Source organism: Homo sapiens, chromosome 14, assembly GCF_000001405.40.
Source record: "Homo sapiens chromosome 14, GRCh38.p14 Primary Assembly".
Lineage (NCBI taxonomy): Eukaryota > Metazoa > Chordata > Mammalia > Primates > Hominidae > Homo > Homo sapiens.
In genome coordinates this window covers 90873334-90894923 of record NC_000014.9, presented here as the reverse complement: position 1 = coordinate 90894923, position 21590 = coordinate 90873334, and the positions used below count along the sequence as shown (strand labels likewise).

Sequence of the window (21590 nt, the reverse complement as noted above, 5' to 3'; positions counted from 1 at the left end):
GAATCCCTTGAGCCCAGGAATTCAAGGGCAGATTTCTTTTTAGAGACTTCATCTCTTAAAACAAAACACTGCAAATGAAAGAATTCATCACAGAAGGGAAAAAGGATATACAGTATAAAGATTTCACTGCAGTACTTGAAATTTTCCATTACCAAAATAGAATTATAAAACAGCTACATTATCTTTCAGCCCTTTTCTCTAAGATATGAGGATTGCCATTGATTATTTTAACAGGGGATTATTTAAACGTATTGGTGGTAGATAGTCAATAAATGTTTTATATGTTAATAGACTTCTGTGCTTCAGGAAGGCCCTCCACGTTATTCTTTCTCTTTTCTAGCTTCACACGTTTCTAGTGATGGAACTTCTGAATGGAGGAGAACTGTTTGAGCGCATTAAGAAAAAGAAGCACTTCAGTGAGACGGAAGCCAGCTACATCATGAGGAAGCTTGTTTCAGCTGTAAGCCACATGCATGATGTTGGAGTGGTGCACAGGGATCTGAAACCTGAGGTATAAAATCACTGGATCTCTTACGTAATTCAGTCTAGCACCATTATTAAAGATCTCCCAAACATGGGGGAAGTTTCTGGGGAGGTTTCCTTATTTTTTTACTTTTCAAGGCTGTTAAATAGATAATTGAAAATACGTTTCTTTGATGTTTTTTCTTTTATATTTCAGTCTAAAATAAATTTGTCTTTGTTTATTTTTTGCCAGCTGATCATCTTGAGGTTATATTTGTAAGTGTGAGAACCTTTTATGGAAAAAATACTTTATGCAACAGTTGTGGACTAAAAATAGCAATGGAAATTTTTATAGCAGAAAATAATATCTCTTACATATAATTTTAGAGGGTTTTTTTTCCAAATGATGTATTTTGAAAACTTATTTTTTACATTTGTAATCAAATTGGTTAGCTCATGAATAAAAATGTATATAATTCTATTCTAAATACTTAAAGAGTTGTCTTGGTTTAATTAGTTATGCCGTCTTTCTATGTGCTTTTCTATGATCGTGCTATAATATTTATAGAACTATATGTAGCAATGCAAAAGTAACAGCTATTTATATGTCTCCTCTTATGAAAGGCTAATAAAGAATGTTCTAACTCTTAGAATGATCCCTTTTTAGTATCAAAAATATGAAAATTCCCTCCTTTTAGAAAATCAACAAAATAATGAAAATTGAAAAACGAAAATCAATACTGTATAAAAAGATAATGATGACTCATCCTTTACCATATACAAGATTATACATATTCTCTCCAAAATAGAACTTTGTTTAATTATCATGTGATTATAATATGTTCTCGAGTATATATAAAATATTATTTGATGTTCCTTTTGTGATTAAGCCACAAAAGATTATTTCTCTAAAAGCACTATTTTTGCCTTTTACTTAGGTATCTTGAATTATTAGAAGAGGATGTTTTAAAAATGGAATTCTTTTCTTCTCTACTTCACATGGAAAAGAAAATTTTTAAAATGAAATTCTGTGCATTAAAATATATTTGGTTTATTCCTTTCATGTATTTAGACTTCTATGTATTTTCTATTACCATTATTCACAGTACTAGTAATTAATCAAAAGTAAATTCTGTTTTATTAACTTGCAACTATGATAGTTCCCCTCTGCTTCCTTCATCATAGTTCTCACTCTCCTACATAACACCCACTGAAAGTATGGTGCTCTGTACATTGGAGATTAGCTGTCTATTTTTAAATGTGAAAGCACACCACTTAAATGTTTTCTTGATAGACAAGGAACAAGCATGTAGTTTTTTTTAATTGAAAAGATCTGTTCCATGACTGTATAGAATTCATTTTCACATGTTTTATTCTTTGATAACTGGCCATCTGTCACCTCATGAGTCTCAAATGAGGCAACTGTCCTCTCTTGCAGAATTTAGATTTGCATTCCTCCTTTCCTGATAAAAAGATAACTTATGTAGCTTAATTCTTCTTATTTGTTATAAGGCTTTTCTTTCAAATACTCACTTGAAATGGGGCAGAACTATCAGATTATTTAGGACATTCTACTGCAATTATAGTCCTAAATCAAACTAGATTTTGGAGAAATGAAAATAGACCTTTGAACTAACATTTTCATAATAAAATGTCTTTCACTTTGACTTTTAAATGGCAGTGTATATTATTTCTAAACTAAAAGTTTAATATTTTCCCATGTGGCACTTTAAGGTCTGATTATCTATCTTTTGGTAGGTAGCTATGTGGATTCATTTTCTGCATAGGCAGAATCCTAAGTCTAGGTAAGAGTCAGATAAATTTAGAAGCTGGCTGACATTCTTAGTAAGCTGCCTTGTATTTTTCAAACTTGTCCCATACTCTTCTGAGATTAAGAAAAGTTGCATACATCCAATTTGTTTCAGGCAGAACTTGAGATGAGGATAAAAGGGGATTGAATGGTTACTTCCCACCATTCCTGACTAGGCACACCCTCCTCCATGTAGAACTGTCTCTAACTTTGAGCTTTGAGAGAAGAGGTAGGCAAGTGAGCAGTGTTTCTCAATTTTACATATTCCGGAATAGGAGGAATGGATTAAAGTCACCAAATTAAAGTGATTGCCACATCCTCTCACTTCTTCTGCTTTAAGAAGTGAAACTGGCCGAGCGCAGTGGCTCACACCTGTAATCCCAGCACTTTGGGAGGCCGAGGCAAGCGGATCACTTGAGGACAGGAGTTTGAGACCAGTCTGGCCAACATGGCAAAACCTCATCTCTACTAAAAATACAAAAAAAGTTAGCCAGGCATGGTGGCGGGCACCTGTAATCCCAGGTACTTGGGAGGCTGAGGCAGCAGAATCACTTGAATCCAGGAGGTGGAGGTTGCAGTGAGCCAAGATCGCACCACTGCACGCCAGCCTGGGCAACAGAGCAAGACTGTCTCTCTCAAAAAAAAAAAAAAAAGAACTAAAATCAAGGAAGCCCTTTTCCAATCTTAATATAGAATAAACATGGTCATTTCCAAAGACTTAGCAGGCTCAATGAAGACAAGGCCAGCTGTGGTTCATTCAGCTGTTCTGTGTGGACAGTGCCTTACACTGCAAAGGAGCTCAGGTGTTACTTGCTAAAAGACTTCTCCCAAGCACGCATCCATCAACCCCAGCCGTGGCTTCAGTGTCACAAATTCAAGATTAAACAATGTATGCTAGAAAATTTAAGACAATTTTTAGTTAATGTTTTGTTTTTCTTTCCACCCACTTTATTGACTTTCAGATGGAAGACTTAGGAGATTTTTCTTCTTTGCATCAGTGATACCATCTATAATGTGTTTTATTTCAGCTAGAATAGTATTAACAAAGCAAATAATATTCCAGAGCTGGGAATAATTTAATGACTATAAAGGCATAATGGATTTTGTTAGGATGCCTAAAGACGATATAATCAGATTTCACTTACTTTCAGTACTAGCTTAATGTACTTATTAAAATAATTTGTGCATCAGTAAGTATTAAGCATGTGATAAATACAAAAAGTAGTACTACAGAGTCTTAGTGATCAAGAAGCCTTGGTGGATGAATGATTCAAAATAATAATGTTTTCTGAATATTTGAAGTATTAGCTGTTGGAGAAAATATTTCTGAAATGTAATGGGTGTCTCTACCATGTCTTCTTCAATAGGCAATACTAGATATTATATAGCTATTTTATTTATGACTTTGTTCAATGAACACATGTTTACCAAAGCACCTACTCTATGTCTGTGCCAGGCCCTGGGGTAGGGTCAAAAATAAGGTAGACACATAGTCCCCGTCCTTATGGAATTATGACATAATGGGGATGAAGACATTAAGCTAGCAATACAGAGGTGGTAAGTGCCAGAAAGGAAAAGTAAATAGTGTTAGGAAAAAATATTAAACGTTTTAACTTCAGTTTGGTAGGACAGTTAGGATAGTATCTCTAAATGAGGAGTAGATGGGGGGAGGTAGGTTGGCGGAGGAAGCAAAAGACAAACACAAGCAGAGGGAAAAGCTTAGAAAAAGGGTCTGACATCAGAAGAGGCATGGTGCAGTTGAAAAATGTTTCACATGACATGGTAAAATTGAAATAATACCAAAAAGCATCAAGCAGAGAGCAGCAGTGTATTGATGTCCTGCCCTCGCGCCTCCCCATGAGACCTCTCTGCACATGAATCAACTATCAATATACAAAGTGTTACATAAATAGTACCAGCAATTCCCAAGACATGCCTAGTGAGAAACTAATGTAAGCATTGATATCTTGCAGAATTTATTGTTCACCGATGAAAATGACAATTTGGAAATTAAAATAATTGATTTTGGATTTGCACGGCTAAAGCCACCGGATAATCAGCCCCTGAAGACTCCATGCTTCACCCTTCATTATGCCGCCCCAGAGCTCTTGAATCAGAACGGCTACGATGAGTCCTGTGACCTGTGGAGCTTGGGCGTCATTTTGGTGAGTTCTTTTCAATACAGTCATTAAACCTGCTTATTTCTTTGGTGTCCTCTCTCCTTATCTCACTCTTCACTGTTTCCTTACATTCATGAAAAAATTGGCAAAGTGGTTTCTTTTCTGTACAGCCAGTTAGAGGCCTGACTGAATAGTATTTCCCTGTCTTAAAATGTATATTAAAGAAAATGTAAGAATTTCTATTTTGGTTTATTTTGAAATATTTAAGTTAGCTGTGTTTTATATCAATGAGAGTTAAAGGAACTATAGCATATATTTTTAAAGACACATATTATATTGGACATAATGTGAAAATAGCAAAATGATTCATCAATAGAAAAACATTTTTAAAAAACTTCTGTGAAGTTTCAGACTAAAATGTAATTACAGAATACCATTTAAGCTAAATTAACAAATAAATAGATGAAATTAGAAATATTTCTACTACGTAACTTAAAGTAATGTGAGCATGCTTTTCACAAAATGTCCTTGGCTGCTGTGATTAGAAATAGAACGTTAAGCTAGAAAAATCTTGTGTTTTTTTTCTCCAAATATCATTACTTTTTCTGCATATAATTTGTAATGCATGATCTTGGGAAATTTTCAGACAGTACAGAAAGAAGGAGCAAGGTGAAAATTACTCATATTCTTCACATTGAGAAGTGATATACCTCAAGCTCTCTCTCTCCCTTCAGCCCCTCCTCCCCTTTAGATATGTAGGCTTTTCATCTTTCCACATGTTTTCTATACATGTATACATATTTGAATTTTTTAACAAATAAGATTATATTATACCTGTATTTTGAGTCTCTGAAACTTATGTAACCATTTATTTACTAATAAGCAGTTAGCTTTTTTTCACTTTTTCACTAATTATAAGCTACACAAATGAATTTTTTTTATATATGTGTTTGTGTTTGTCTCACCATTTCCTTAGGATAGATTCCCAGAAGAAGGGTATGCACAACTTTCCTTTAACATGTGTGCCTGGATTTCCTTCTAAAAGATTTATCAGATTATGTTCTCATCAACTATATGGGAGTACATTGGCTATCAGTTTTCATCTGAAATGATATCCCATTGTGATAATTTGCATGTGTTTCTTTGATGAATATTTAGTTAGAGCATCTTTTCATGCATTTGAACATTAGTATTTTCTCTTTTATGAATTACTCTTTTTTTTTTTTTTTTTTTTTTTGGAGACAAAGTCTTGCTCTGTCTCCCAGGCTGGAGTGCAGTGGCACAATCTTGGCTCACTGCAACCTCCGCCTCCCGGATTCAAGCGATTCTCCTGCCTCAGCCTCCTGAGTAGCTGGGATTACAAGTGTGCACCAACATGCCTGGCTAATTTTTGTATTTTTAGTAGAGACGAGGTTTTACCATGTTGGTCAGGCTGGTCTCAAACTCCTGACCTCGGGTGATCCGCCTGCCTTGGCCTCCCAAAGTGCTGGGATTACAGGCGAGAGCCACTGTGCCCAGCCTCTTTTATGAATTGCTCTTTATGAGCTTTGCCCATTTTCCTATGGGGAGATTTTTCTTACTGCATTTTAAAGCTCTATTAAAGACTTTCATTCTTTGACGTTAATATTGGAAATGTTTTTTCTGGTGTGTCACTTGTTTTAAAACTTTGTTTATGGTAATACGGTATTTTGATTTTGTTTTTAGAAGGATTTAAACAGAGAAGATTCTTAAATGTCTATGTAGTAAGATATGTCAGTCTTTTTCTTTATGATATCTGACTTTTATGTCAGATTGTCACTCCACTCCTATGCCCACCGCAAGTTTATGAAAATATTGTCCTAAATTTTTCTCTAGAATTATTTTGTTCTTACACTTAAGTCTGGAATTTATTTTAGTGTCAGTTGTTTTCCCCCAATGACTAGTCAGTTGTCCCTGCAGGATGGTTCTTCTTTTATTTTTAAGTTTTATATAGTTTTTATCTCATCGGTTTTCAGTCATCATTTATAATTTTCAAACTAAACTTACATATTTGTGAATAACATTTTAAACAAAAATAAACTGACTTGTAGATCTGAGTTTTGTTGAAGGACTTAAATTGAAGACATTTTTATTAGTAGCATGTCTTAAAGATTAATCTAAATAAAAAAGAGACTTTCATTTTTAGTAATTTCTTTTCTCTTGCTAAAGGCCAATTATGTCCATCAAGCTCTTTAAGGTTTCAAAAGGCAGTCTTAAACATGCAGCAGTGTATTTTGGAGCCTCTGAATTCCTTAACTATAGAAATAACTTTGTGTAATGACATGGATGGAAGCCATGCTTCTCTCTAAATCTAATTGTCAAATTTTTAAGAAAAATAGGACAAAAAAACAGGTTAAATGATATCACAGGATAATCACAATATCCAGTCTGTGGGAAGTTCCACTAAACAAACAACCCAGTTTGTTCAACAAATAAATGGTAAAAAAAGGTAAACTGAGAACTTATAGATGAAAAGACACATAAGAAACAATGTTTGCATCTTACTGAAATCCTGATTTAAGCACTTTCTAATTTAGATTCCTTTTTTTTTTTTTTTTTTTTTTTTTTGCGATAGCCTCCCTCTGTCGCCCAGGCTTGAGTGCAGTGGCACCATCATAGCTCACTGCAGGCTCAAGTGATCCTCCTACCTCAGCCTCCTGAGTAGCTGGGACCACAGGCACATGCCACCATACCCCAGCTAATTTTTTTTTTTTTTTTAAATAGAAAAGAAGTCTTGCTTTGTTGCCCAGGCTGGTCTCAAATTCCTAGCTTCAAGTGATCCTCCCGCCTCGGCCTCTCAAAATGCTGGGATTACAGGCATGAGCCACAGTGCCCAGCTTAATTTAAATTCTATTTATTAAATTCAAATTAAATGTAATTCATATAGATCTAATTTATATACTATGTATATACCACAGCTAGGGAAATTTGAATATTGATTAGATGTTGAATGATACAAAGGAATTACTACTAATTTTTTTTAGATGTGATACTGATATTGTGGTTGTGGTTTTAAAGGTGCTTGCCTTTTATGGACAGACACAGTCTGTAATCCCAGCACTTCGGGAGGCCAAGGTAGGAAGATTGTTTAAGCCCAGGAGCTCAAGACCAGCCAGGGCAACACAGTGGGACCCAGTCTCTAAAAGGAAAAAAAAAAAAATTTTAATTAGCTGGGCATGGTGGCTCATGCCAGTAGTCCCAGCTACTTGGGAGGCTGAGGTGAGAGGCTCACTTGAGCCCAGAGGTTGAGACTGCAGTGAGCCGTGATCACACTACCACACTCCACAGTGGGTGACAGAGCAAGACCCTGTCTCCAAAAAACAAAAGTCCTTTCTTTTTAGAGGTACATGATAAAATACAGATGAAAATGAACAAAAATAATACCTTCATTAAACTATCCGAAAAAAAAGAGTGCTTTGCTAACTTTTCTATATAAATGAATGCATATCTAGATACAAAGGCTGAATTATCCCATAACAAGCACAAAATTTATTTGAAGTCTCCTGATTTGTTTCAGAAATAAATGGAAGTTTTGTATTTTACATCTAATAAACATGTATGTGGATATTTTAATATGAAAACAAGTTATATTGTCCTCATTGAATAAAATAAATACTCCAGGAAAATACATCATGTAGTATTATGAGGTTTTGATTACAACCCATTATACCTGATGGATATACAATCCCTGTCTGAAATGTATAGGACTTTAATAAAAATAGAGCTTACACGGTATATTAATCTGCTTAGGCTGCTGTAACAGAATACCACAAATTAGGCAGCTTGAACAACAGAAATTTATTTTCTCACAGTTCTTGATGCTGGGTGGTCTTACGAACCAGATGCCAGCAGTATTGGTGTGTGGTGAGGGCCCTCTCTTTGGATTACAGATGGCCACCTGCTTGTTGTGTCCGCACACAGCCTTTCCTTGGTCTGCACACTCACAAAGAGAAAGTGTCTGTCCCTTTAAGGACACTAATTCTCTTGGATCAGGGGCCTACCCGTATAACCTCATTTAACCTTAGTTACCTCCCTAAAGGCCCTGTCTCCAAATACAGTCACATGGAGAGCTGGGGCTTCAGCGTGTGAATCCCCAGCGGGTGCAAGGAGAACACAAACATTCAGTCCACGGTACACAGTATTTAGAGAAAGTAGGATAAGATATATAACATACCTGTGAAGTGTTATAAAATTTTGTTTAAAGTGTTTTATTCTCAGGACCTTATTTTTTAATTTTTTTCCCACAATTTTATTTTGAACATTTTAATGCTAGAGAAAATATGAGAGAATATTACTATGAACATCTGACATTTTGCTGCATTTCCTTTTTCTTTCTCTCTAATTATTTCTAGTGTGCACGCTCTTCTTTATATGTATGTGTATATGTATATATATGAGTATATATAATACATATATGCAGACATACATATATATCTTTATGTAGAGATAGAGCTATACCTTGCTACAGTATTTGCAAACAATTTGCAGACACAAAGTTATCCTTAACAGATATTTCTAGATAATCAACTAAAATTTTAAGAGCTTGGAACTGAGAGGATCCTAAAGTTTGTTTAATTCTGCCTTTTCCAGAAAAGGGATCTTTTATATTATCACCAATATCCTCTCCAGTACTTCCAAAGTTGGAAAGTTAGTTTTTTCACCCAACAACCTGTTGCATTATTACATGCCAGAAAACAAGAAAACTTTATTTATAAAGATTGGTTTCTTTTTTCTTTTTTCTTTTTTTTTTTTTTTTTTTTTTTTTTTTTTTTGAGATGGAGTCTTGCTCTGTCACCCAGGCTGGAGTGCAGTGGCGTGATCTCCGCTTACTGCAAGCTCCGCCTCCTAGGTTCACGCCATTCTCCTGCCTCAGTCTCCCGAGTAGCTGGGACTACAGGCGCCCGCCACCTCGCCCGTCTAATTTTTTTTTTTTTTTTTTTTTTTTTTTTTTTTTTTTTTTTGAGACGGAGTCTCGCTCTGTCGCCCAGGCTGGAGTGCAGTGGCGGGATCTCGGCTCACTGCAAGCTCCGCCTCCCGGGTTCACGCCATTCTCCTGCCTCAGCCTCCCAAGTAGCTGGGACTACAGGCGCCCGCCACTACGCCCGGCTAATTTTTTGTATTTCTAGTAGAGACGAGGTTTCACCATGTTGGCCAGGATGCCTCTCGATCTCCTGACCTCATGATCTGCCCACCTCAGCCTCCCAAAGTGCTGGGATTACAGGTGTGAGCCACCGTGCCCAGCACTTTTTTTTTTTTTTTTTGAGACAAGATCCTGCTCTGTTGCCCAGGCTGAAGTGTAGTTGCACGTTCATGGCTCACTGCAGCCTCGACCTCCCAGGCTGAGGTGATCCTCTTGCTTCAGTTTTCCGAGTAGCTGGGATTACAGGCACACACCACCATGCCCAGCTAATTTTTGTATTTTTTGTAGAGGTGGGGTTTTGCCATGTTGCCCAGGCTAGTCTCAAACTCCTGGGCTCAAGCAGTCCACCCATCTCAGCCTCCCAAAGTTCTGGGATTGCAGGTGTGAGCCCCTGTTCCCTGCCCTGCTTTCTTATATTTAGCCACAAACATACCTGTTAAGAAGTGGGGCAGGACAAAGAAGTAGAGCAGACTTTAGAAAACTATTTGGCAGTATCTACTGAACATATGCAGACCAAATAATCCAGCAATTCCAATTCAGGAATATATCCAACAGAAATATGTATATTTCTGTAACAAAGACATGTATAAGAAGATATATAACAGCATGATTCAAAATTCCCCACACTGGAAACAACCCAATGTTCATCAACAATAGAAGGATATTTTAAAGAGAGGATGCTGGGAAGACAGTGCAGCAGGAAGCACCAGGAATCTGTCTCACCACCAACTGCAGTGGCAGAATCTCTCTGACGTAACTATTTTGGAACTCTGAAGTCCATTGAAAGTTTTCAACTTCCAGGGAAAGGCTTGGACAGTAAAGTGCAGTTAATTTTGGTCAATTTTAGCTCTTAGCACAGTATAGGTCGAGTATCCCTTATTCAAAATGCTTGGGACCAGAAGTATTTTGGATTTCGGATTTCTTTGGATTTCGGCATATTTGCAGAATACATACTGGTTGAGCATCCCTAATCTGAAAATTCAAAATGCAAAGTGCCCCAGTGAGCATTTCCATTGAGCATGTTGGCGCTCAGAAAGTTTGTTTTGGGAGCATTTTGGATTTTGGGTTTACAAGTTAGGGATGCTCAACTTACAGCAGCCACCCATTCCCCACCCTCAACCCTGTAGCAGACAGCCATGCACGTATTCCTAAAACAACCTACACACAGTTTGTGGGAGCCAGGATGGGCAAAAAGGACCTTGTCCTCTAAATATAGAGCATCTGTGATCTGAATTGCTATAATTGCTGCTTCTCACTATAGAGGTGCAAAGAGGGCAGTGGTCATTGTTGTTGTGCCTGCCACCATTACTGCAAGCCCCTCCTCCTCCTCTGGATGAAGTGATTTCCAGGAGTACTTAAAGGACCAGTCCCCCTTTTTCCCTTTGGGAGCCAGACATTCAGTACTCATACATTCCAAAGCAACTGCTTATACAGGGAAAATTAGAAAGCTACCAGGCATGCCCAGGCAAAGCCACAGGCTCATCAAAGACCTGAGAAGACCTTAAGTTTGTACTCCATGCTGATCCTCGGCACAGAGACAGCCTATAACAATCAAAAAACGAAAAGCAATAAACAAAAACAAACACAAAAAAAGCAAACCCTAGGGAAGGAGGAGAATTTTGATTCCCAGAGGTACCACATCATTAAGTTCAAGGTCCCATTTTCAACAAGAATCACAAGGTATATAAAGAAACAAGAAAGTATGGCCCACTCAAAAAAATAAATCAACAGAAACTGTTTCTGAAAAAGGCCTCATGATAAATTCACCTAGACAAAGACTTAAAACAACTGTGTTAAAGACATTGAAAGACCTAAAGGAGTATGTGGGGAACATCAAGACAAAATGTATTAACAAAATGGAAATAACAGTAAAGAGATAGAAAACCTGAAAAGAAAATGAAAAGGAATTCTGGAGCTGAAAAGTACAGTAACTAAAATGAAAAATTCAATAGAGGGTTTCAGAGGCAGATTTGGCAGGCAGAAGAAGGAATCAGTGAAATTGAAGTTAGGACAATTAAAATTATTGAGTGTGAGGAACAGAGAGAAAAATGAAAAAAAGCGAACAGAGCCTAAGGAACCATAGGATGCCATCAAGAGGACCAACATATGCATTGTCGGAGTTTCAGAAGGAGAAGAAAGAGAAAGGGACAGAGAGAATATTGGAAGAAATATTCTATTGGATTGGTGGAAAACTTTCCAATTTTGATGAAAGACAATATAAACAACTAAGAAATTCAACAAAATTCAAGTAAGACTAACTGAAAGAGACCCACACTGAAACACATTATAATGAAACACCTGTAATCCTAGCACTTTGGGAGGCCGAGGTGGGCTGATCACTTGAGGTCAGGAGTTCAAGACCACCCTGGCCAACATGGTGAAACCCCATCTCTACTAAAAATACACAAATTAGCCAGGCGTGGTGGCACACACCTATAATCCCAGCTACTCGGGAGGCTGAGGCAGGAGAATCGTTTGAACTTGGGAGGCGGAGGTTGCAGTGAGCTGAGATCATGACAGAGTGGGTGACAGAGTGAGACTCTGTCTCAAAAAAAAAAATAGAATCTTGAAAGCAACAAGAGAAAAGCAATTCCACACATACAAGTGATCTTCAGTTAGATCATCAGCAGATTTCTCATCAGAAGGTGGCTCAGAAGGCAGTGGAGTGATACATTCAAAGCACTAAAAGGGAAAAAAAAAACTGTCAACCAAGAATCCTATCTCTGGCAAAGCTGTCCTTCAAAGTGGAGGGAGAAGTTAACATATTTCTAGATCCGTAAGAAGCTGAGGGAGTTCATTACTTCATTACCACTAACGCCGCTCTGTAAGAAATGCTCAAGGGAGTCCTGCAGGCTGACAAGAAAGGACACTAGACAGTTAATTCAAAGCCTTATGAAGAAATAAAGATGTCAATAAAGGTAAATACAAGGCCAGTTGTAAAAAGCTAGCATTATTGTGACAACAGTTTATAACTTCACCTTTTGTTTTCTGCGTGACATAAGAGACGAATGCATTTAAAAGAATTATCGGTTTGTTTTGGGGCACACAGTGTATAAAGATGTAGTTTTGTAACATAAACAACCAAAAGAAGTTGGGTAGAACTGTTAGAGGAGCAAAGGTTTTTCTACATTATTAAAGTTAAACTGATACAAATTCAAGTTAGAGTGTTATAACTTTAGGATAGTAAATGTAATCCCTTGGGAACCACAAAGAAAATAGCTATAGAATATATACAAAAAGAAAAAAGAAAGGAATTTAAATGTTTTATTACAAAAAAATAAACTAAACATAAAAGAAGGCAGTAATGCAGAATATGAAGGACAAAAAAGTTATCAAGCATATAGAAAACACATAGCAAAATGACAGAAGTTAGTTCCTTTTTATCAGTAATTACTTTAAATGCAAATGGATTAAACTCTAATCAAAGGTCAAAGATTGGCATAATGGATTTAAAAACATGATTAACTATATGCTGTCTGCAAAAGAATCACTTTAAATCCAAAGACACAAATAGATTGAAAGTGAAACTATGGGAAAAGATATTCCATGCAAATAGTAACCAAAAGAGATCAGGGCTGAGTGCAGTGGCTCAAGCCTGTAATCCCAGCACTTTGGGAGGCCGAGGCAGGCGAGTCGCTTGAGGTCAGAAGTTCGAGACCAGCCTGGCCAACATGGTGAAACCCCATCTCTACGAAAAATACAAAAGTTATCCAGGCGTGGTGGTGTGTGCCTGTAATCCCAGCTACTCAGGAGGCTAAGGCAGGAGAATCGCTTGAACCCAGGAGGCAGAGGTTGCAGTGAGCCAACATTGTGCCATTGCACTCTGGCCTAGGTAACAAGAGCGAAACTCCGTCTCAGAAACAAACAAACAAAAAAGAGCTCAGGAGTGGCTACACTAAAATAGACTTTTTTTTTTTTTTTGAGACAGAGTCTTGCTTTGTTGCCCAGGCTGGAGTGCAGTGGCACAATCTCAGCTCACTGGAACCTCTGCCTCCCGAGTTCAGGCAATTCTCATGCCTCAGCCTCCCAAGTAGCTGGGATTACAGGCGCATATACCATGACACCCAGCTAATTTTTGTAGTTTTAGTAGAGATGGGGTTTCGCCATATTGGCCACACTGGTCTCAAACTCCTGGACTCAAGCAATCTGACTGCCTTAGCCTCCCAAAGTGCTGGGATTACAGGCATGAGCCACCACTCCTGGCCACAAAATAGACTTTAAATCAAAAAAGTTTACAAGAGGCTGGGCATGGTGGCTCACAGCTGTAATCCCGGCACTTTGGAGGCTGAGGCAGGAGGATCACTTGAGCCCAGGAGTTTGAGACTAGCCTGGACAACATAGTGAGACCTCATTTCTACAAAAAATTTAAAAATTAACCAGATGTAGTAGCATGTGCCTGTAGTCTCAGATACTCAGAAGGCTGAGGTGGAAGGATCTCTTGAGCCTGGGGAGGTCAAGGCTGCAGTGAATCGTGATTACGCCACTGTACTCCGACCTTGGAAACAGAGCGACACCTTGTCTCACAAAAAAAAAAAAAAAAAAGTTTACAAAAGACAAAGAGGGTCAGAGGGTCCTCATATATTAATAAAATATCCAATTCAACAGGAAGATGTAATAATTACAAACACTTGTACACCTAATGTAGACCAGTAAAGTACATGAAGCAAAAACTGACAGAACTGAAGGGAGAAGTAGACAGTCCTGTAATAATTATTGGAGACTTCAATACCCAACTCTCAATAATGGATAAAACAACCGGCCAGAAGATAAGAAGGAAATAGAGGACTTAACCAACTAGATCTAATGGACACATACAGAGTTAAAATGTGGATGCAATCTGAGTTTCCATGGATAGATGATAGACAAGCAAAATGTGCTGTATACATACACTGGAATATTATTCAGCCTTGAAAAGGGAGGAAGTTCTCACATGTACAAAAACATAGATGATTATTGAGGATATTATGCTAAAGAAGGAAGCCAGTTACAAAAAGACAAATAGTGTATGTTCAGAAAAGATACTTAGGGTATTCAGAATCATAGAGACAGAAAGTAAAATGGTGGTTGCCGGGGTTGTGGGGGAAAGGAGAATGGGGAGTTATTATTTAATGGGTATAGAGTTTTAGTTTTACAAGATGAAGAGTCCTAGAGATGGATGGTGATGATGGTTGCATACCGTGAAGATATTTAATACCATCGAACTATACACTTAAAAATGGTTAACATGGTACATTTTGTTAAATGTATTTTAACACAATAAAAAATTAGGAGTGGTGGCCAGGCATGGTGGCTCACTCTTGTAATCCCAGCCCTTTGGGAGGCCAAGGCGGGTAGATCACAAGGTCGGGAGTTTGAGACCAGCCTGGCCAAGAGACAAGCCTGACCAATATTGTGAAACCCCACCTCTACTAAAAACACAAAAGTTAGCTGGGCATGGTGGCAGGCGCCTGTAATCCCAGCTACTTGAGAGAGTGAGGCAGGAGAATTGCCTGAACTCAGGAGGCAGGGGTTGCAGTGAGCCGAAGATCGTGCCACTGCAGTCTAGCCTGGGCGACAGAGCGAGACTCCAACTCAAAAAAAAAAAAAAAAAAATTAGGAGTGGAGAGAAAGATATTCTATTCTGTGTTCCCCGGAAAGCGAAACCTGAAGCTAATACTTGTGTCATATTATGTTATTAAAGAGCATAATCCCAAGGGTGCAGGACTGAGGAAAAGAGAGCAGAGCATGTGCTACTGGGCTGGCCACGTGTCATCACCAAGTGCAGCTGATCACTTGAGCTCATGGAACAGACCTCTGAGCAGAGCCAGGAAGCATGAGTTCTCTAAGTGGGTCGTGCACCCATAAAATCTAGATACAGAGGACCTGGACCCATCAGCCATTGGTTCAGCACAGCTCTCAGAGACAGCACCCCGACCCCACAAGGTATTATCCTGAGCCAGGTGGTATCTTTGCTGAGTCTGCCATGTTCTACAGGCCAGCTGCACTTAAGTGAACCATCTGCCAACCAGGCTTATCAGTTGATCATAGGGAACCTCCTTCAGTGAGGCCATAGTGTGAGTTAAGGAAGAAGTGTTAGTGCATCCAAGACAAGTGACATGTGTGTAAGCACGTTATTTACTCATGCGTTCTGGACTGCCCAGGGCAGATTCTGAGTGTGCCATTTCCATAGTGCATTGGTTTGTTGCTGTGCCTACCTGACTTGGTGAATCAAGGCATCTGCTGATCTTAGCACATGATGCACTGCTCTTGGGATCACATGTTTGAGGCACTCAGAGCCTGCCGGGGTCTAGTAACATCTCAGGAGCAGTTATTTGGAAAATAGTTACCTGCCACAGAAGGCCCCACCTTGCACCAGAATACTTCAGGTCTGCTCTGAGACTCTCCTGTTGTGGCTGCGAGAGAGTCTCATCTTTCACAGATACCTGTAGTACAATCAGAGCAACTGAAACCTATGGCCCAAGTAGCTTCCTGCTAATTGGCAGGATTGGACCTATAACAAAAGCCTATGCTAGGCCCCACTTGAAACAGGTAGCCTTCCGAGTCACTTGATAAATTTCTTAGAGCAGTATTCTCCAGTGCAACGTATGCTACCTCCAAAATGCAAAGAAGCCCACTAAGTTCTATTCCCGCTTCTTAGTGGTGCAAGGTACAGTAGGTTGTCTTTTAGAGGAGGATGTTTCATTATGTCCCTGACCACTGGAGCCCCAGTTTTCTGCTCTGCAGAATGAGAATTACATCATTCCACTTCTGCGGAATGAGGAAAATACCCTATAATGGTGCCTAATTGCATTAACAGGACTAACTTTGCTCTGCTTTCCTTTCTTTCCTTCACTATAGATATTAGAAGAGCTTTTGTTCCATGTTTGGGGAGGTAAACTTGCAGCTAGAAAGGCAAGGCCTGGGGAAACTACATTCTATTCAATAGCAAGAGTCAGGGAAATAGGATTCTAGAAACTTAGGGAAAAGGGGCGGAATTCCTGGCATCCGAGGAAGGGGAGGGGGGATCTGGAACACATGTGACACAAGTTCCACAGACTCATCAGAGCTGTCATTTGGTGGCATCCCTCTGTTTAATCAAGACCACAGTACAGTCTCTATCATATCACTGTCTTAAGTGTTCTTAAAGGGTTCTTACTCATTCAGGAAATAAGCATGGGATAGCAAATTCTGGCACTACGCAAGGTTCAGGGGATACAGTGATACATGAGACATAGTTCTGCTTCCAGGGAGCTCATGGTTTAGCAATGTGGACAGTTGTATTGAGTTACCCCACAAAGTGATAGGGCATCTACAGGTGTGCACACCAGTTCAGTGGCTGTGTAGATAGCTCTGTGGATACAGTAGTGGAGAATAAGATCGTGAAGAAAGGATTCTTTCCATAGAGGGGAAGCATTAAGAGACAAACTTATTAACCATTTGCTGAGCACCTACTGTGTGCCAGGCACAATACTAGGTATGTTAAATGTATGATTTCATGTAACCTTATAATATCACTTGTTACTTTTACCCGCGAAGAAATGGTCTAAGAGAAGTTAAGGAATTTGCCCATCCCGAAGCTAGTTATTGACAAAGCAGTTGTTTGCAGCCAGGTGTAGTTACCCAAACTGGGTAACTGGGTTATACTCTAGGCACCCTAGGATGCATGGGACTTTGCCAGCTGAAGAAAAAAAATGGCATTCTAAGGAGACCAAACAGCATGTGGAAAGTCCCAGAGCCCTGAGAACTGTTGTTGGGAACACAGGATTGGAATATGGGGAACTGCAGAAGCTGAGGCTGAAAAAGAAAGGCAAGAGTCAGAGACTGAAGGAAGCCAGTGAAGGGATTTGGATAGGGGAATGTTGTAAGATTTAAGTTGCATGACTGTTACTCTGGTGTCTGCATGAAGGATACAGGAGGGAAGAAGTGAGGTTGGGGGCAGGTGGAGGCACAGCATCAGTTATGAGACTCCAGTTAATCTTGGACAGTTACTGCCAGCCTGTGGACTGGCTCACTCAGACCTAGTCGTAGCCTGCCTTCAAGCTACATCAAGGATTTAGGGAGTTTTGTCTGCCTTCTACAGACGTTCTGACATTGCCCTTCTTAGAGCAATTAATCTTCTTCATTAGGTTGCTCCAGATTAGAAACTGAGGTTCCTTCTCCGTGTCTTCTATTTTCAAACTCTGCGCATTCTCATGCATATAGTTTTTATTCTTCTCAGGCACAATTTTCTATTTCAGAAAATCCAAACTTGTCCAAAGCCTTCTAGCCTCTTGTAACCTCAGAGGTGTCAAGTTTCTCTTCCTGCTGCATCTGGGTCTTATTCCTGTCTTCTCCATCCTTCTTACTCATGTTTTGTTTATTACCTACCTTACTGGATCTCCTGGTTGTCCTTTTTATGTTATTTTTATTAGCCTGTCTAGGAGTTTCCATCTTTTCTGAAGAGCCAGTGTGTAAGAGCTGTTTCACCATCTTGCCATAGTGAGGACAAGCCTACTTGTCAGAAACGTGACCAGAAAAGAAAGATGGCATATTGTTTCTAGATCACCGGAACATCCTGTGGCTTCCATGTCTCCTAATTAGGGCTGGGGTTGACACTGAGCCTCCCCTCCATGTCCCTTCCTAAGTGCCAGGATGAGCACGCTTCCCTCAGCCCAGGCTCCTGCCGACACCACTGCTCCCTTCTCAAACCATCTGGTAGGGCCGCCTTTTGGTCCTCTCTGGTCCATACCCAGACACAGCTACTTAACACCAGCCAACCCACCACCATTGATGACCAACCCACCATCTCTGCAAGACCAAAAATCAGTGAGCAGAGAAAACCACCCCCAAGAATTTTAAAGGATCACTTTTCTAAAATCCAATCTCTGCTACAAAGATAAGCCTTGGCTTGTTTGTTATTCTGTTAACTTTATAAAGGGGAAAATCTTAAACATAGATTTCAAACATATGGCTACAATGAAAACAGGTGGCTGTAGATAATTCACTGTATTTAAGACAACAGTGAGAAAAATAAAATAAAAACAGGGGTAATTACAGATCAAATAGGAAGGCCTATATGAAGTTTTTCAAGTCCTTAACCATAGTTACATGTCCTGGGGAAAGGATGGTGGAAATGGAATAGAAAAACATAGTTATTCAGGAGTTCTGCTATCTCTCTATTTTCTGTTAACATCAATACCATCTTTTTGAAGCAGTTGGATTATCCTTTTCTGTTCTTATTGCTCTGAATATAGTCATAAATGTGATTTTAAATCTATATCATAACAAGCCATGCCACTGGTTTACAAGTCTTTGAGATGTATTCACTGCCTCAGTGATAGAAGTCACGTAATCTTTTTTTTTTTAATACTTTAAGTTTTAGGGTACATGTGCACAACGTGCAGGTTTTTTACATATGTATACATGTGCCATGTTGGTGTGCTGCACCCATTAACTCATCATTTAGCATTAGGTTTATCTCCTAATGCTATCCCTCCCCCCTCCCCCCACCCCACAACAGTCCCCGGTGTGTGATGTTCCCCTTCCTGTGTCCATGTGTTCTCATTGTTCAATTCCCACCTATGAGTGAGAACATGTGGTGTTTGGTTTTTTGTCCTTGCGATAGTTTGCTGAGAATGATGGTTTCCAGCTTCATCCATGTCCCTACAAAGGACATGAACTCATCATTTTTTATGGCTGCATAGTATTCCATGGTGTATATATGCCACATTTTCTTAATCCAGTCTATCGTTGTTGGACATTTGGGTTGGTTCCAAGTCTTTGCTATTGTGAATAGTGCCGCAATAAACATACGTGTGCATGTGTCTTTATAGCAGCATGATTTATAATCCTTTGGGTATATACCCAGTGATGGGATGGCTGGGTCAAATGGTATTTCTAGTTCTAGATCCCTGAGGAATCACGTAATCTTTTAAACTCAATCATGCTAGTTGTAGCAATTGGTAAATTACACCAGTTACGTTACTATTAGGATTATTAGAGTGGCTTTAACAGATCTGGGTAGTCATTCTGTTTTGTTACTTTTTCCCTGATAGTACACAATGTTGTCAGGACAGGTTCCCTTCCAATCTCATGACCGAAGTTTGACGTGTACCAGCGCGGTGGAAATCATGAAGAAAATTAAAAAGGGAGATTTCTCCTTTGAAGGAGAAGCCTGGAAGAATGTATCCCAAGAGGCTAAAGATTTGATCCAAGGTAAGAATCTAATGAAATTTTACATTTTATATGATGTGTAGTGATTGAAGTAGAATCATGGCCATTACACATACATTCATATGTTAATTACTCGAGGAATCCATGTGTATTCTAAAAGGCTTCCAGGCTACTCTCTTCAGCCTTGTTTTCTTATCAGAACATTCTCTTTAGTAATGGTATCCACATTTCTAACATGAGCTAGCACTTGACTTCCACTGGCATCTCAGTCAAGCACATCTAAAACAAACCAATACTTTTTGACTGTCCTTCCCCCCAAACACGCTCCTCCTCCTGTCTTTCCTCCTGTCAACAGTGGCACTGCTAAGAAGCCAGATCACCAAAACAGAAACCTAGGCGTCCTCCTGGATACCTGCACCTGCCTGCCTTCTGCAGCCAGTCACAGAGTTCTACACATTCAGCAGCGCTCCTAGCAGTCCGGTCCCTTCCTTCCCATTCACCTGCCGTTGCCTTTGTTCTCATCACCATTTCTCTCCCCAAATCCTGCAGCATCCTTTCACCTTGCCTCACTTCCTCTGACTTAAGCTGTTCATCATCTGTCAATAGAGGGACTTTTCTAGAATCCCTATGTGATTATGCCTCTTTTCTGCCAAAAATCCTTTGGAGACTCTCTGTTTGCTTCAGGTCAGACTCCTTAGCCTAGCATTTAACATTCAAAGCCCCTCATGACCTGGTCCTGTCTGCCTTTGTTTCCTCCTCACCCCAGCTCTGCCGTTGCAGGATATTTGAATTCCTCAGATATGCTGAGCTTTCAGATCCCTCCGTGTCTTTACATGCTCTTAATCCTCTTCCATAGCCACTTCTCCTTATCCTACAGGATTCATCTCCTAGAAGCCTTCCAGGATGCCCTCACTCCCTAGGCTACACTCTCCCTCAGGCCTGCTAACACACTGTGCCTGTGTATCTTGCTATCGCACTTATCCCTGATGTTATAATAGCTGGGGTTTTGCCTGTGTGTCTTCTGATATTAATAGCTCCTCTCTGCATCTCCATCTCCATATCTCTAGTGCCTTACTGCACTCCCTGACCTATAGAAGATGGCCAGTAAATGTTTGGTATATGGATGAAGTAGATCTGTGTGCTTTTTGCTCATTTGGAGCTTACGAAGTCACCAGTGGGAATCTTTGTTTTGGATGTTTATTTTCTCCTGATTGAAAAGCCACTTCGCCTGGAGCTTCCTAGAAATAGGCTACTGTGACTTTATCATTAGACTCCAGCATTCACAAAAGAATTTAAATGAATAGGAAAATCTAATTATCTTTGTAGGAGGTTAAAGCTATATAGAAACCATTATGTCATGTGAACATAGCTGAGATTTATTTCTGAGTTTGTTTTTAAACCATGTTTAAAATGACAAATCATAAAATAAAAATATCTATTCCCAAAGGACTTCTCACAGTAGATCCAAACAAAAGGCTTAAAATGTCTGGCTTGAGGTACAATGAATGGCTACAAGATGGAAGTCAGCTGTCCTCCAATCCTCTGATGACTCCGGATATTCTAGGATCTTCCGGAGCTGCCGTGCATACCTGTGTGAAAGCAACCTTCCACGTAAGGCCCTGTGCTCTGTACATGTTGGGCGGTTTGAGTAGGAATCATAATCAAATGTTCTTACTCTGTAGCCTCAGATACGTTTTCTTTGTTTCACATTTAAAATAATATGTGTCCTTTTACTTTTAGGTATGTTTTTATAAATTGCTTCATGGTTATAAACACTTTATAACAATAAGTGCACAGGGGACCAGAGTCACTGCTAACCCACAAAATACATATTTAATTTTTAGAATGACCTTATGAGATGAGATAATAGAACTTTTTCCTCTCAAATAGACTGACTAAATTTCTTTAA

General features: G+C 39.2%; 1 protein-coding gene across 14 annotated transcripts in view; it reads left to right on the top strand.

The window, feature by feature from the left end:
- RPS6KA5 (ribosomal protein S6 kinase A5) overlaps nt 1-21590 on the top strand; it is a 212781-nt gene that overhangs the window by 165718 nt on the left and 25473 nt on the right. For 12 of the 14 annotated variants that reach the window (NM_001322232.2, NM_001322228.2, NM_001322236.2 and 9 more), the window contains 4 exons: nt 341-511; nt 4246-4437; nt 19564-19723; nt 21129-21292. In NM_001322232.2, the coding sequence (NP_001309161.1) occupies nt 341-511; nt 4246-4437; nt 19564-19723; nt 21129-21292 (687 nt within the window). Of the gene's footprint in view, nt 1-340; nt 959-4245; nt 4438-19563; nt 19724-21128; nt 21293-21590 lie in introns of those variants that run through there. The other 2 variants (NM_001322229.2, NM_182398.3) reach the window with 2 other exon arrangements.